Source organism: Homo sapiens, chromosome 19, assembly GCF_000001405.40.
Source record: "Homo sapiens chromosome 19, GRCh38.p14 Primary Assembly".
NCBI classification, from domain to species: Eukaryota; Metazoa; Chordata; class Mammalia; order Primates; family Hominidae; genus Homo; species Homo sapiens.
Genome location: NC_000019.10, coordinates 34889623 through 34905150, shown reverse-complemented (window position 1 = coordinate 34905150; position 15528 = coordinate 34889623). Strand labels below are relative to the sequence as shown.

Sequence of the window (15528 nt, the reverse complement as noted above, 5' to 3'; positions counted from 1 at the left end):
GTTAGGCTCCCAGCGGCTCTCAGCCGTTAAGTGGAGAATGTTCAGGACTGTCGAGGCGCGCTCCGCACCTGGCCTGAAAGCGGGAGATTTGGCAACCAGTGCGCGTGGGTGCGCCGGCCCTTGCAGCTGGGGACTCTGGAGGCAGACCTTGCCCAAAGCCAGAGGCAGGAACTCCCCAGATCCTCCCAGGGTAGGGAGCTGGCTCACAGGGAAGGTGCCTGGGGAGGGGCCGGGCGGTGCTGTCTCCTGACTCCGCCCAGGCAGCCCCGCCGCTGCAGCCGGCCTGGGCTAAGGTGGGGAGAAGACACCAGCACAGGCAGGGAGCAAGAGCCCCCAGCTGCTTCCTTTCAGGCAGCCGCCACAGAGGACCCAGTTTCCCTTCTCTCTTCTCTATGCAGGTAGCATGGGAGGATGCCGCCTCCTCCAGGAAGCTCTCTAGCGCTTTTCCGAGTCCTGGAGCCAGGCGGGACTTCTCTGTGGTCGCCTAGAAGGGTATGAACTTAGGGCATCCCCATCTGGGCTGTGAAGGTTTCTGACTTGGGGACCAGGTGCTCAGACCTTCCTGGATGCTGCTTTCCACAATATCTCTACCAGGCAGGCAGGTTCTCTTCATTTTGCAAATTTGGTGAAACAGCATTTGTAAAACTTTAGAAGCTTCCTTGGCTCACACAGGTGGTAGTGGCCCTGTCAGGATTTGACCCAGGCTCTCGGATTCCAGAGTTCCTGAATTTAACCACCTGTACTGTGATGCCTCCTTATCATGTGTGCATCGTGCATTACTATTTTTTATAGCCTGTAGGGTACTGAGCACCATGCACACCTACAGTGATCACAGGCACTGCCTACTGGAAGGTCTTCTTTGGCTGGGTTCCAGTTTCCTCAGACGATGTAGGGCAGGGAGTTCCACTTGTTAGCATATCCCACAGGGCCTTTCTCTTCAAATGGACCCCAGCAGCCAACCACACAGCTGCCTCAGCAAGCGTAGGAGATGGCACATCAGGTGGGTGCAAGATTCACCCTGGCTTAAAATCCTTGTGCCCCAAGGGACCAGGATCTCCTGTAATAATTCCACAGAACAGATTTCAGAGTTTGGCCAAAATGGAAAACTTAGCAATATTAACTTTTCTAATCCATCTCACGGGATATATCTCCATATATTTTAATCTTTTACATTTTTTTTCTCAGCAATGTTTTATACCAAGGGTCAGCAAATTTCAGCCCATGGGCCAAATGTGGCCTATAGTCTGTTTTATTTTTATTTTTGAGAGGGAGTCTCGCTCTGTCACCCAGGCTGGAGTGCAGTGGCACGATCTTGGCTCACTGCAACCTCCACCCACCCCCGGGTTCAAGCGATTCTCCTGTTTCAGCTTTCTGAGTAGCTGAGATTACAGGCGCCCACCACCATGCCCGGCTAATTTTTGTATAAAGCAGAGACGGGTTTCACCATGTTGGTCAGGCTGGTCTCGAACTCCTCACCTCAAATGATCCACCTGCTTTGGCCTCCCAAAGTGCTGGGATTATGAGTGTGAGCCACCACGCCCCACTCATAGCCTGTTTTTGTAAGGCCGGTTAGCTAAGAATGATGTTAACGTCTTTAAAAGGTCTTTAAAAACAACAGAAAATTCCAGAGAATATGTGACAGAGATCATACGTGACCTATAAAACCTATATTATTTACTCCCTGACCCTTTACAGAGAAAGTTTGCAGCTACTCTTTTGTAGTTTTCTGTGTATAGGTCTTACTCAGCTTTTGCTAATTTATCCCTAAGTATGTTATGGGATTTGCAAATGTTATTTTCAAATAGTTCATTGGTAGAACACAGAAAATGCATTAAATATATATGTATATATAGTACTTGTATACACACATACATATATACACACACACCTTATATTATTGGGATCTTGCTAAATTCATTGTTTATTTTTGGTAGATTTTTTTTTTTTGCAGATTCCTTTGGGTTTTCTACATGTATTTTCCATGCATCATGTATGAATAAAGTCAGTTTTACTTCTCTTTCCACCTGCATGCCTTTTATTTCTCTTTCTTACCTTCTATGTTTGCAGAGACCAACAATTGTCAGCACAGCAAAACTGGGCATTTCTTTTCTTACTGAGCTTTGCAGCTACCTACACAGTTGTGTGTGGCATCTCCTCCTGGGTGCAAGGACATGAGATGACATCAGGTGGGTGCAGGATCTATCCTGGCTTAAAAGCCTATGCCCCATGGACACCAATATCTCTGGTAATAATTTCATGGACAACTTTCAGGGTCCTGGTTGAAATGGATGACTTACCTTTCTTAAATGTCATCTTAAGTGGATGACTTAACTTTTTCCAGTCCACTATCATGGTATGCATTTTGTGTATATGTGTGTGTGTACATATAGATAGACATTTATATATATATATATGCATGTATATATATGCACATACTCACATATATGTGTATATATACATGCACATATATATCTACGTCTATCTATCTGTCTATTGGTATGTAGTAGGATACAGCAAAAATAATTGCTTTTTTATATGGCACCTCAGTAAATTCCTTTCTTATCTCTTGTAGTTTCTTTGTATATCGGGTAGTGTTTTCTACATATACAATTATGTTTTCTATGCATATTCTTTTTAATCTGTATGATTTTATTTTTCTTACCTTTTACAGTTACTGTGATCTCCAGTAAAATGTTTAATACAAGTGGAGACAATAGATAACCTTTTCCAACTCCTGATCGGGGGGTGGAAAGTGCTCAGTGTGCTATTAACTTAAGGCTTTTATAGATGTGCTTTATCATGTAAAGGCTGTTCCCTCCAATTCTTTCTATACTGAGAAATTTTTTCAAAGAGGTGTTAAATTTTTTCAACCCATGTCACAAATCTGCATATGTACTCCCCTAAACCTAAAATAAAAGTTGGAAAGAAAAATAAAACTATTACTTGAAACCCATGTTGTCATAGAAAAGATGTTTTTATAAATTAAGTAATGATTGCTTGTGAACTATTGTGTCTGGAGTCAAAGGTGTATTAAAATTAATCTCAGAACTCTTGCCATAACTACAAAAACAAATATGCCAGGCCACAAAAAAATACATGTTAAAAAGTTTTGTGCATCAAAAGACACTATCTAACAGAGTGAAAAGACAACCCAGGCAATTGGAAAAAATACTTGTAAATCATATATTTGAGAAGGGATTGATATCCAGAATTAAAATTTTTTTCAATTACTTTGTCCAAAGCTGAGATAATCATATGACTTTTTGTTTGTTCTCTTAATATGGTGAATTACATTTTAAATTTTGAGTGTTAGACCAACCTTACATATCTGAGACAAACCCTACTTGGTCATGCTAGGTCATTCTTTTCTATTTGGTTGAATTTAATTCCCAGAGATGTTGTGAAAGAATTTTATGTCAGCAGGGCGCGGTGGCTCATGCCTGTAATCCCAGCACTTTGGGAGGCTGAGGCGGGTGGATCACCTGAGGTCAGGAGTTTGAGACCAGCCTGACCAACGTGGTGAAACACTGTCTCTACTAAAAATACAAAAATTAACCGGGCGTGGTGGTGCATGCCTGTAGTTCCAGCTACTCGGGAGGCTGAGACAGGAGAATCGCTTGAACCTCCCAGGCAGAGGTTGCAGTGAGCCGAGATTGTGCCACTGCACTTCAGCCTGGGTGACAGAACGAGAAGAAAAAAAAAAAAGAATTTTATGTCTATGTTCATGAGGTTTATTAATCTATTGTGTCCCTTTCTTGCTAGGTTTTTATATTAGGGTAATGTCAGTTACACAGAATGAGTTAGGAAAAATTGCTTTCTTTATTCTCTGAAAGAGTATGTTTAATGCTGGTAAAACATCTTTCTTATATGTTTGATAGAATTAACCATTAAAATCATTCAGACCTGCAGTTTTCTTTTTGGAAAGATATTTTTAGTTCCTTTTTGTACTTTTAATAGTCTTTCAGATCTGCATTCATGCCTCATTTTTATTCATTATATTGGTAATTTTTGTTTTGTTTTTACACTTTATTGAGATATAGTTCACATATTCATATAATTTACTCATTCAAAGTGTATAATTCAGTGTTTTGTAGTATATTTATAGATATGTACAACCATTACCAGAGTCCATTTTAGAACCTTTTATCATCTCAAGAAAACCCTCTATTTTTCAGCTACGAGCCTATATCCTTCAACCCTTGGAAGCCACTGATCTGCTTTCTGTTTCTATGGATCCCCTGTTCTGGACATTTCATATAAATGGAACTGTATGATATATGGTCTTTTGTGTCTGGCTTTTTTCACTTGGCATAATGTTTTCAAGATTCATCCATGTTGTAGCATGGGTGTTTTTATGGCTAAATAATATGTGTTTTTATGACCAAATAACATTCTATTATATGGATGTACCGCTTTTGTTTACCCATTAATCACCTGGGCATTTGGATTGTTTCTACCTTTTAGCCATTATGAATAATGCTGCAAACACTCATATACAAGTTTTTGTGTGGGCATGGGTTGCTTTCATTTATCTTGGGTACATGCTTTGAAGTAGAATTACTAGGTAATACAGTAACTCTTTTTGATAGTTTGAGAAACTGACAGATTGTTTTCCAAAGTGGCTACACCGTTCAACATTCCCACCAACAGTGTTTGAGGTTCCAGGTTCCAATTTCCCCAGGTTTTTGCCAACACTTTTTGTTATCTGACTTTTTGATTCTAGCCATCCTAGTGGGTATGAAATGGCACATCATTGTGGTTTTGACTTGCATTTCTCTAATGACTAATGTTTCTAACCATCTTTTTGTTTGCAAATTGACCATTTTTATGTCTTCTTTGGAGAAATGTCTATTCGTATCCTTTGCTTATTTTTAAATAGGTTTTTATCTTTTATTATTGAGTTGTAAGAGTTATACATTAGGAGTACAAGCCTCTTACCACGTATATGATTTGCAAATATTTTTTCCCATTCTATGGGTTTTACTTTCAATTTCTTGATGCTATCTTTTGAAGCACAAAAGTTATTCATTTTGATGTGGCAAAACATTTATCTAGTTTATCTTTTGCTTGTTATTTGCTGCCACATCTAAGAAACCATTCCCAAAATCAATGTCATGAAGCTTTTTCTATATGTTTTCTTCTAAGAGTTTTATAGTTTTAACTCTTAATTTATGTAGTCAATTCACCTTGAGTTAATTTTTGTATATGGAGCAAGGCAATGGTCCAACTTTATTCTGTTGCATGTTACTATCCAGTTGCCCCAGCACTATTTGTTGAAAGATTACTTTTCCCCCATTGAATGGTCTTAGCACCTTTGTTAAAAAATCAGTTGACGAAAGATATATGGGTTTTGTACTTGTACTAGGTCCAAAATGGTAGAGTAGAAGCAAGCTGGCTTCACTCTCACCACAGAAACAGAAACAAATATCCAGCACAAAGATAATCACCAGCAATATCCCAGAACTCAAATGAGAGGGTCTCCTGGGCAGAAACCCCTAGTCAGCCTTCCCACCCTGCCAGGGTAGCCCCTTTCGGACCTCCCTCATTCAGGATGGGCAAAGCTCAAAATGTTCACTAGAGCAAAGACACACCTGGGCTTAAGGTGCCACCTAGCACCATAAAGGAGAGAGTGACCTAGTGAAGAAGATACTCAACAGATAAACTACAAAGAATCTCTAAGCAAACATATCTAAGAAAAACAAAAACAAACCAGACAGAGAAAGCTGGAATAACTAACACATCCTTCAATGCAAAGACATAGATGTAGATCCATAAGAAACAACAGCAGACAGGGAACCATGACCTCCCCAAACGGACAAAGTAAGGAGCCAGTGACCAATCCTAGCAAGATGACAATAGGCAAACTCTATGATCAGGAATTCAAAACAGCAATTTTAAGGCAACACAGTGATTTCCAAGATAATACCGAAAAGCAATTCAGAAATTTATCAGAGAAATGTAACAAAATGATTGAAATAATTAAAAAATCAAACAAGATTTATGGGTTTATTTCATGCAATTGTAGACAATTCTATTTTATTGATCTATATGTCTATCCTTGTGCCAATACCACACAGTCTTGATTACTATTGCATTGCAATAACTCTTGTTTTCTTTTGTTTTGTTTTTGTTGTTTTTGAGACAGGGTCTTGCTGTGTCATCCAGGCTGGAGTGCAGTGATATGAGCATGGCTCACTGCAGCCTCGACCTCCCAGCTTCAAGCAATGCTCCCACCTTGGCCTCCCAAAGCGCTGGGATTACAGGCATGAGCCACCATGCCTGGCCATTGCCATTGCAGTAAGTTTTGAAATCAGTAAGTGTGAGTTCTCCTACTTTGTTTTTTCTCTTTCTTTCTTTCTTTCTTTCTTTCTTTCTTTCTTTCTTTCTTTCTTTCTTTCTTTTCTCTTTCTTTCTTTCCTTCTCCTTCCTTCCTTCCTTCTTTCCTTCCTTCCTTCCTTCCTTCCTTCCTTCTTTCTTTCTTTCTTGCTTTCTTTCTTCTTCTTTTTTATTTTTTATTTTTATTTGAGATGGAGTCTCACTCTGTCACCAGGCTGGAGTGCAGTGGCATGATCTTGGCTCACTGCAACCTCCGACTCCCTGGTTCAGGCAATTCTCCTGCCTCAGTCTCTCGAGTAGCTGGGATTATAGGCATGTGCCACCACGCCTGCCTAATTTTTATATTTTTAATAGAGACGGGGTTTCACCATGTTAGCCAGGATGGTCTCGATCTCTTGATCTTGTGATCCGCCCGCCTTGGCCTCCCAAAGTGCTGGGATTACAGGCACGAGCCACCATACCTGGCCTAGTTTTTGTATTTTTAGTAGAGACGGGATTTCACCATGTTGGTCAGGCTGGTCTCGAACTCCTTACCTCAGGTGATCTGCCCGCCTTGGCCTCCCAAAGTGCTAGAATTACAGGCGTGAGCCACTGCGCCCGGCTGTTTTTCTTTTTCAAAATGTTTGGCTACTTAGGATTCCTTGCAATTCCATATGAATTTTACAATCACCTTATCACTTTCTACAAAGTGGTCAGCTGGGATTCTGCTAGAGACTGCTTTGAATCTGTAGATCAGTTTGGGGAATATTGTCATCTTAAACAATATCAAGCCTTCTTATTCGTGAATGTGCATTCTTTTTCCTATTCTGTAGATATTTTTGACTCTCTTTAAACAATGTTTTGTAGTTTTCAGAGTATATGTTGAAAATGTTTTTGTTAAATTTATTCGTAAATGTTTTACTCTTTATGATGTTACTGTAAATGAAATTGTTTACTTAATTTTAGTTTTGGATGATTCATTGCAAGTGTATAGAAATACAATTGATTTTTGTATATTAATTTATATCTTATAATACTGCTGAACTAGTTTATTAGTTCTAATAGATTTTTCATTGGATTCTTTTGGACATTCCCCACAAAATAACTCTAATCTGCAAATTTCTCTAGCTAAAGACTCAAGTACAATAATAAATAAAAGTGATGAGAGTAGACATTATAATCTTGTTTTTTTGTTTTGTTTTGTTTGTTTGTTTTTTTGAGACAGAGTCTCACTTTGTCACCCAGGCTGGAATGCAGTGGCACGATTACAGCTTACCACAGCCTTGACCTCCTGGGTTCAGGTGATCCTCCCACCTCAGCCTCCCAAGTAGTTGGGACTACAGGTGCCCACCACCATGCCTGGCTAATTTTTTTGTAATTTTTGTAGAGACAGGGTTTTGCCATGTTACCTAGGCTGGTCTTGAACTCCTGGGCTCAAGCGATCTGGCTGCCTCAACCTCCCAAAGTGGTAGGATTACAGACATGAGCCACTATGCCCAGCCTATAATCTTGTTTGTAAACTTAGAGGGAAAGCATCCAAATTTAATCATTATGATGTTTGCCGTGGGTTTTTTGTACTTGCTCTTATCAGGTTGAGGAAGTTCATTTTTATACTACTTTGTTGAGTTTTTAAAAAATTATTATTATGGCCAGGCATGGTGGCTCACACCTGCAATCCTAGCATTTTGGAAGGCCAAGGCCAGCAGATTGCTTGAGTTCAGCAGTTTGAGAACAGCCTGGGCAACATGGCAAAACCCCATCTCTATATTAAAAAATAAAAATAATTTAAAAAATTATTATTATGAAAAGATGTTGAATTTTGTCATATGTTTCTTCTGCATGTGTTGAAATGACCATATGATTTGTTTTTTGTTCTACTGATATTATGTATTACAATAGTTTATTTTTGGATGTTAAACCAACCTTGCATTGCTAGCATACATTCTTTTTATATATTGCTGGGTTTTGTTTACTAGTATTCTGCTGAGAGTTTTGCATCCATATTCATAAGAATCATATTGGCCTGTACTTTACTCTTCTTATGATGTCTTTGTCTTGTTTTGGTATCAAGGTAATACTGGCTTCATAAAATGAGTTAACTGTCCATAAAATGAACAGTTCACAAAGAATTGGTATTAATTCTTTGTTAAATGTTTAGCAAAATTCAGCAGTAGAGCCATCTGGACCTGGAATTTTTTTTTTTTTTTCAGATGGAGTCTTGCTCTGTTGCCCAGGCCGGAGTGCAGTGCAGTGGAGTGATCTTGGATCACTGCAGCCTCCACATCCTGGGTTCAAGCAATTCTCCTGCCTCAGCCTCCTGAGTAGCTGGGACTACAGGCATGCACCACCACACCTGGCTAATTTTTTTGTTTTTGGATTTTTAGTAGAGATGGGTTTCACCATGCTGGCCAGGTTGGTCTTGAACTCCTGACCTCAAGTGATCTGGGTGGCTTGGCCTCCCACAGTGCTGGGATTACAGGGGTGAACCACTCCTCCTGGCCTGGACCTGGAATTTTTTGTGGGTGGTTTTTTGATTATGAATTAATTACTCCTCACTTGTTGTATGCCTATTAGATTATCCTATTTCTTCTCAAGTTAGCTTTCATAGTTTCTGTGATTCTAGGGATTTGTTCATTTCACCTAAATTATATTATTTCTAGGTATAAAATTGTTCATAGTATTCCTTTATAGTTCTTTTAATTTCTATAATGTTGATAGTAATGTTTCCTCTTTCATTTCTGATTTTGGTAATTTGAATCTTTTCTCCTTTTATCTTGGTCAGTATAGCTAAATGTTTGCCAATTTTTTATCGAATGGACTGATATTTTATTATTGAGTTGTAGCAGTCCTTTGTTAGACACATATTTTGCAAATATTTTTTCTTGTTATAGTTTACCTTTTCATTTTTTGAATTCTGCCTTTTTTGAACAGTATTTTTTTTTTTTTTTTTTTTTGAGATGGAGCCTCACTCTGTCGCCCAGGCTAGGGTGCAGTGGCACGATCTCCACTCACTGCAACCTCCCCCTCCTAGGTTCAAGCGATTCTCCTGCCTCAGCCTCCTGAGTAGCTGGGACTACAGGCATACACCACCATGCCCAGCTAATTTTTTTGTACTTTTAGTAGAGACAGGATTTCACCATGTTGGCCAGGATGGTCTCGATCTTTTGACCTTGTGATCTGCCCGCCTCGGCCTCCCAAAGTGCTGGGATTACAGGGGTGAGCCGTGCCCAGCCTGTTTTGTTTTGAGACAGAGTCTTGCCCTGTCTCCCAGGCTGGAGTGCAATGGCACAATCTCGGCTCACTGCAACCTCTGCCTCCTCCCGGGTTCAAACGATTCTCCTGCCTCAGCCTCCCGAGTAGCTGGGATTACAGGCGCCTGCCACCACACCCAGCTAATTTTTGTATTTTTAGTAGAGACAGTTTCACCATGTTGGCCAGGATGGTCTCAAACTCCTGACCCCATCGTCTGCCCACCTCGGCCTTCCAAAGTGCTGGAATTACAGGCGTGAGCTACCACGCCCAGGCTGAGTTCTCAGGTTTCTTATGGATTCTTTAGAATTCTCTATATGTACGATCATGTCATCTGCAAACATGGACAATTTTACTACATCTTTCTTTCTAATTTGGATGCCTTTTATTTATTTCACTTCCTTAATTGCTCTGGCCAGGACTTCCAGTAGTAAGTTAAGTAGAAGTAGTAAGAGCAGGAATCCTTGCCTTGTTCTTAATTTTAGAGGAAAAGCTTTCAGTTTTTCACTGTTGACTGTATGTTAGCTATGGCCTTTTCCTATTGGCCTTTACTGTGTTGAGATACATTCCATGTAACCTAATTTGTTGAGATATTTTTCCTTATGAAAGGGTGTCAAATTTCATCAAATGCCTTTCCTGCATATTCCAATTTCCAAAAGCTGAGTTGTGCTGCCATTGGGTTTCAGAGCCACATAAAATGATTTTTATCCTTCATTATGTTAATGCAGTAAATCACATTAATTGATTTTCATATATTGATCCCTCCTTGCATCTCAGGGATAAATCCCACTTGATTATGGTGTCTGATTATTTTAATGTGCTGTTAAATTCAATTTGCTAATACTTTGCTAAGGATTTTCGCATCTATGTTCATCAGGGATATTGGCCAATAGTTTCTTCTTGTGCTGTCTTTGGCATTGGTGTCAGGGTAATGCTGGCCTCATAAAATGAGTTTGGAAGTGTACTCTCCTCTTCAGTGTTCAATTTCCACGTATTTGTGAATTTTCCAGTTTTCCTTCTGGTGTTGACTTCTAGTTTCATTCCACTTAGCTCAGAAAAGATACTTGATATGATCTTCTTAAATTTGTTATTTGATCTTTTTCCTTAGCTTCAGCTGGCTCTCCTAAACTGTGAATTATCTTAGAAAAGACTGTATTTTCCAGGAATTAAGTCTACTGGAGACATGGCAGGACTCTATAGCCACCCAGATCTAGATAAAATTATAATTGATCTATACCCGAGAATATTTTATGTGGGCTTGAGAATGATGTGTATTCTGTTGCTATTGGGTGAGATGTTCTGTATATGCCTGTTAGGCCTATTTGGTCTTCAGTGTTGTTTAAGTCTTGATTTTACTAATTGATCTTCTGTCTGCATGTTCTATCCATACAGAAAGTTAGGAATTGAAGTCTCCTATTATTATTATAAAGTGTCTATTTCTCCCTTTATTCCTGCCAATGTTTGCTTTATATATTTAGGTGTTCTTATGTTTGGTTCATATATATTTATAATTGTTATATTTTCCTGATGAATTAACCCATGTATCATTATATAATGTCCTTTGCTGTCTCTTACGGTAGTTTTTGACTTAAAGTCTATTTTGTCTAATATAAGTGTAGCCACCTGACTCACTTCTGGTTACTATTTGCATGGAATATCTTTTTCCATTCATTCACTTTCAAACAATGTATGTCCTTAAATCTAAAGTGAGTTTCCTGTAAACAGAATATAGTTGGGTAATTCTTTTTATCCATCCAGCTACTCTGTGTCTTTTGATTGAGAAATTTAATCTATTTATATTTAAAGTAATTATCGATAGGGAAGGATTTACAATTTTTTTTTGTTCATTGCTGTTAGTCTAGTTCTGTTAGTTTCTGAAGAAATGATATTCTTAGTTTTGTGTTCCTACTGCTCCCATATCCCTACTAGTAACCCCTCCGATTTTACTTTTGATATATTCACCCATCACTCCTACTATATTGTAAATTCCTTTGAGGCAATAGATGCCTTTCAGCTATATGTCACTAGGCTCAAGCACAATGTCTAGTGTAGAATCAACTCTGAATAAGTATTTAGTAAAATAATATGTCTAAGCTAAGGGAAATGCTTACATTTTTCTTTTTCCCCCAGCTTCAGCTGGTTCTCCTGAACCTTGAATTATCTTAGGAAAGATTGTATTTTCAGGAATTAAGTCTATTGGAGACACAGCAGGACTCCACAGCCAGCTAGATTTGGATAAAATGGTAAGGACTGTAATTTGCTATTTTAGGGTTTTATACTAGAGCCAGACCAATTACTTTTCCAAATAGACCTTATCTAGGTATTTTCTTGAAAAAATGATCTTTTCTGAATTTTCATGGAGCATGAAAACACTTCTATATAATATGTGACATCCTAGTCTTAAAATTTCCAATAATCACAAAGGAGCCATGAGCTTTTTCTTCCTTTTTTTCTTCTAGACATAAGGGCCTCTATACCATACCCATCCTCTTTGGTCGAGGTGTGAATATGTGGGGATGATTTTCTTAAGTCTAAATGAAAGAGAAAGACACAAATGAGACATTTAATTATTTTCAACCAAATTTGTTAATTTTGTTTCCCTAACACACATCGGGGGTGGTCTGGCGTACGACCAAATCAGAGTGATGGAAGAGGAGCACAGAGGGAAAAGGCAAGGGAGGGTCACCCATCCCTTCCTCCTTTGAGCTTCCCTTCCTCATGGCTGCTATCCTTTACATCAAAACACAGAGATGTCAGATGTCAGCCTGTGCAGTTGTAAAGTGTGGCTATGCCACCTCCTATTTGCTGAGCCATAGAACTTTGAAAAGTTACATCTGCCTCAACACAGCACCACTTATAGAAAGAAGTCAATTCTTCTTCCACCGTTGACTAAAATAGAAAAGACATGTAAGCAGAGAGGATCAATGAACAAAAGGAAGGCATTCTCTCTCTCTCTCTCTATATATATATATATACACACACGTGATGTATATATGTATATATATACACATACATATACATTATATGTGTGTGTATATATATATACACATATAACATATATGTGTGTGTATATATATATGTGTGTGTGTGTTTATCAGTCTAGGAAAGAAAGAAAAGGGCCCACTGAGGCAAATGGGCTGGACCAAAGGAGGCAGCTACAGGCAGCAAGGGGTCCTGCCAGCGTAAGATGGCAGGAAAACTGGCCCATAGCTTGGTTCTACCAGACTGAGAAGTTGAAACTGGGTATGGTGTGGTGGATATACTTACTGATCTTTTTCTTCTTTCCACAGTAGACTGCCTCAAGGCCAGTGTGTTGACTTCTGACCAGTCTCATCTGAACCCACACCCTTTAACATATATACAAAACACCTGAAGGGTTGGGCTGCCAGCTTTCTTTAGGATGATAGAGGGCAGGTTAAGTTTGTTTGACATAACTAGAAGAGGTGGAGCCTCTTCCTAATGGAGCAAGGTCCATTTATGGCAAACTGTGGTCCCCCACCACTATCAGCTACTTCTGGATAGCTTTTGCTTAAAGTTGATGAGATATTGTTTCTTTCACTAGAAGAAAATGAATGAGTTGGTGATCCCAAACTTTGGCCTCCAAAGGAAGCCTGGGCAGGTGACAAATGTGTCCTAAGCGAGACTGCTGCTTCCATGCTCATGCTGGAGGTACATTTGCCCTGAAAGATGGAGCAAAAGTGCTGAAGCTTAGCACAGAGGATTAATGAATAAGAACAAGGCTATGTTATATCATATTTGTATAGCAATCTGGAAAAGAAAGAACGGGGCTTGTTAAGGCAAATGGGCAAGACAAAACGGGATATCTATAGGCAGCAAGGGGTCCTGCCAGTCTAAGACTAATGGAAAACTGGCCCATAGCCAGGTATTTTCTCAATGGTGTTCACTACACCAAGTCAGAGGGCTACTTTGTCTAGATAGAGCCCAGGTATTGTGAGTGAGTGCAGGAATAGAAGTGTCTTCCTAAAGGTGTATGTATGGTGTTCTCCTGGGAGACTGTAACAGATGTGCCCTGGGCAAGACCACGCCAGCAGCTGTCAATGATGCTGAGCATACAAATACCCTGGAGCCCAGGAATGGGGCTGCCTCCGCCCAGTGTATCACCTGTGCTCCAGACTGTGTACCCCAGGTCCTCTGCCAGTAGCATCTCCAATCACAGGTGAAATGCCAGCCCTTCAAACAGCACAGGTGGGCCCTAGGTGTCTGATGGAAGGAATGAACAGATATATCACGTGGCATGCATTTCTTCTCAGTGGTGCAGGTATCTCCAGCAGGTTTGCTCTGGCCAGGTGGGCCCCAGTACTTAGACCATATGCAGGAAGAGAAGACTCTCTAAAAATAGGTATGATGTTGGCCCCTTCCATTGCAACACACGTGCCCTGGACAGGTGGGATTCAGGTGTTCTGGCTATAGGTAGGAACATAAAGGCATCCGAGCATAGATGCAGTGCTGGTCCCTTAGACTGCAACAGGTGTACTTTAGTTAGGTGTGCCCCAGGTGGCTTGACTGGGGCAGGAAGAGAAGGATCTCAGCACAGGTATGGTGCTGGTCCCTTCCACTGGAACACAAGTGCTCTGGCCAAACAGGTCCCAGGTGATCTGAACAAAAGGGGGAACAGCCATGTCTTCTGAAACACTCCTTCTCAGTGATCACAAATCTTCCAGTAGTAGTAGGCGTGTTTTGGCTGGGCTGGCACCAGGTGCTCTAACTACAGGTGGGAAGGAAAGTGTTTCCCAGGGCAGATTTGATTTGCTCTCAGCAGTGCCGGCTTCTCCAATTGCAGCAGGAGTGCATCAGGGCTGACAGGACCCTGGCGCTCAGGTCTAAGCCTCCCCCATCATGAGCTGTGGTACTGGCTGTCCCCCAGCCATTTTGCTCCAAAGCTAAGCGATCTAGATGTGGTGGTAGACTCTGCGTGGTAGACCCAATGACCCCAAAGCTTTTGCTATCCATAAGGGCTTCAGATCCCACAAATACAAATTGGCTTGGATTGGCATCAGCAAGAAATGAGCAACAGTCCTCAGTGTTGTGCTTTCTGGTAGCATTTCATGGCAAGAGTAAGAGTGTCCACACCAATGGGTAAAACACCCGAGGCACCACCATGGGCTGCCTGAATGCTGACATTGATGCCAAAGTGGACACGGGAGTGTTTAGTTCCCAAAAGCCAACTGAGTTGTGCTGCCATTGGGTTCTAGGGCTGCAGTAGAGGTTAAGTGTGAAGGGTTTTCAGGGGCTGGCAGGTTTCTCAAAGGGAAACAGCTGTTAACATTGCAGGGAGAGACAGGATGATAACAGATGGGGACATGGGCATGGTACCCATGTTGATTTCCTTAGAGGCAAAGTCAGGCGGAGACACCAAGTCTGAAGACGGGTTGTATACTGGAGTGGAGGTGACTGCAGAATCAGTGGTAGGTGGGCCAGAAAAGACAGGGCACTGGGGGGAGTGGTTCTCTGGCAAGGCCCTGAATCAGGACCCCCAGATTTCAGCTGGTAAGTGTTTCCTGAATCAAAAGCAAGCTTAGAAGTTCAAGTAGGGCTGCTGACCATAAAAGCAGGTGGGCTGGTGGGGATGATGGCCTTTGCAGGGGATATCCGCTCCACACTGGGATGGGCCTGGTCCAATGGGAGGAAGCTCACCCCGGATCTTGAGGGAGACCTGAAGAAGAAAGCTTGGAAGGAAGAGTACTATCCACATCAATTATAACACAGTCCAGGCAGGCTGGGAAGTCCAGTCTGCAGACAGGCTGCCTGGCATGCTAGAAGTGACTGCAGAAGCAGTGATGGGTTGGCTGGTAAAGACAGGGGTACTGGTGCAAGCAACTTGAGGAGGGGTCTGTAAGAAAAGGGGAGGAGAATCCACCTGCACAGGTGTATATGACTCCATTCTGCAGAAGGTAAGCTTTAAGGAGAGGGAGAAAGTTCTAGGACGTGTGGGTTAGGCAGAAG

The 15528-nt window shown here is 40.9% G+C and overlaps 1 long non-coding RNA gene across 2 annotated transcripts; it reads left to right on the top strand.

Annotated features, from left to right (window-relative positions):
- On the top strand, positions 12–13319 carry LINC00904 (long intergenic non-protein coding RNA 904). 2 transcript variants are annotated; one of them, NR_046222.2, is made up of 6 exons: positions 12–190; positions 399–1000; positions 2068–2186; positions 6146–6297; positions 11695–11807; positions 12855–13319. It is a non-coding gene; the product is annotated as a long intergenic non-protein coding RNA 904 (long non-coding RNA). The 2 variants fall into 2 exon arrangements; NR_187844.1 differs by having other exon boundaries at positions 6146–6313.
- The last annotated feature ends 2209 nt before the right edge of the window (positions 13320–15528 follow it).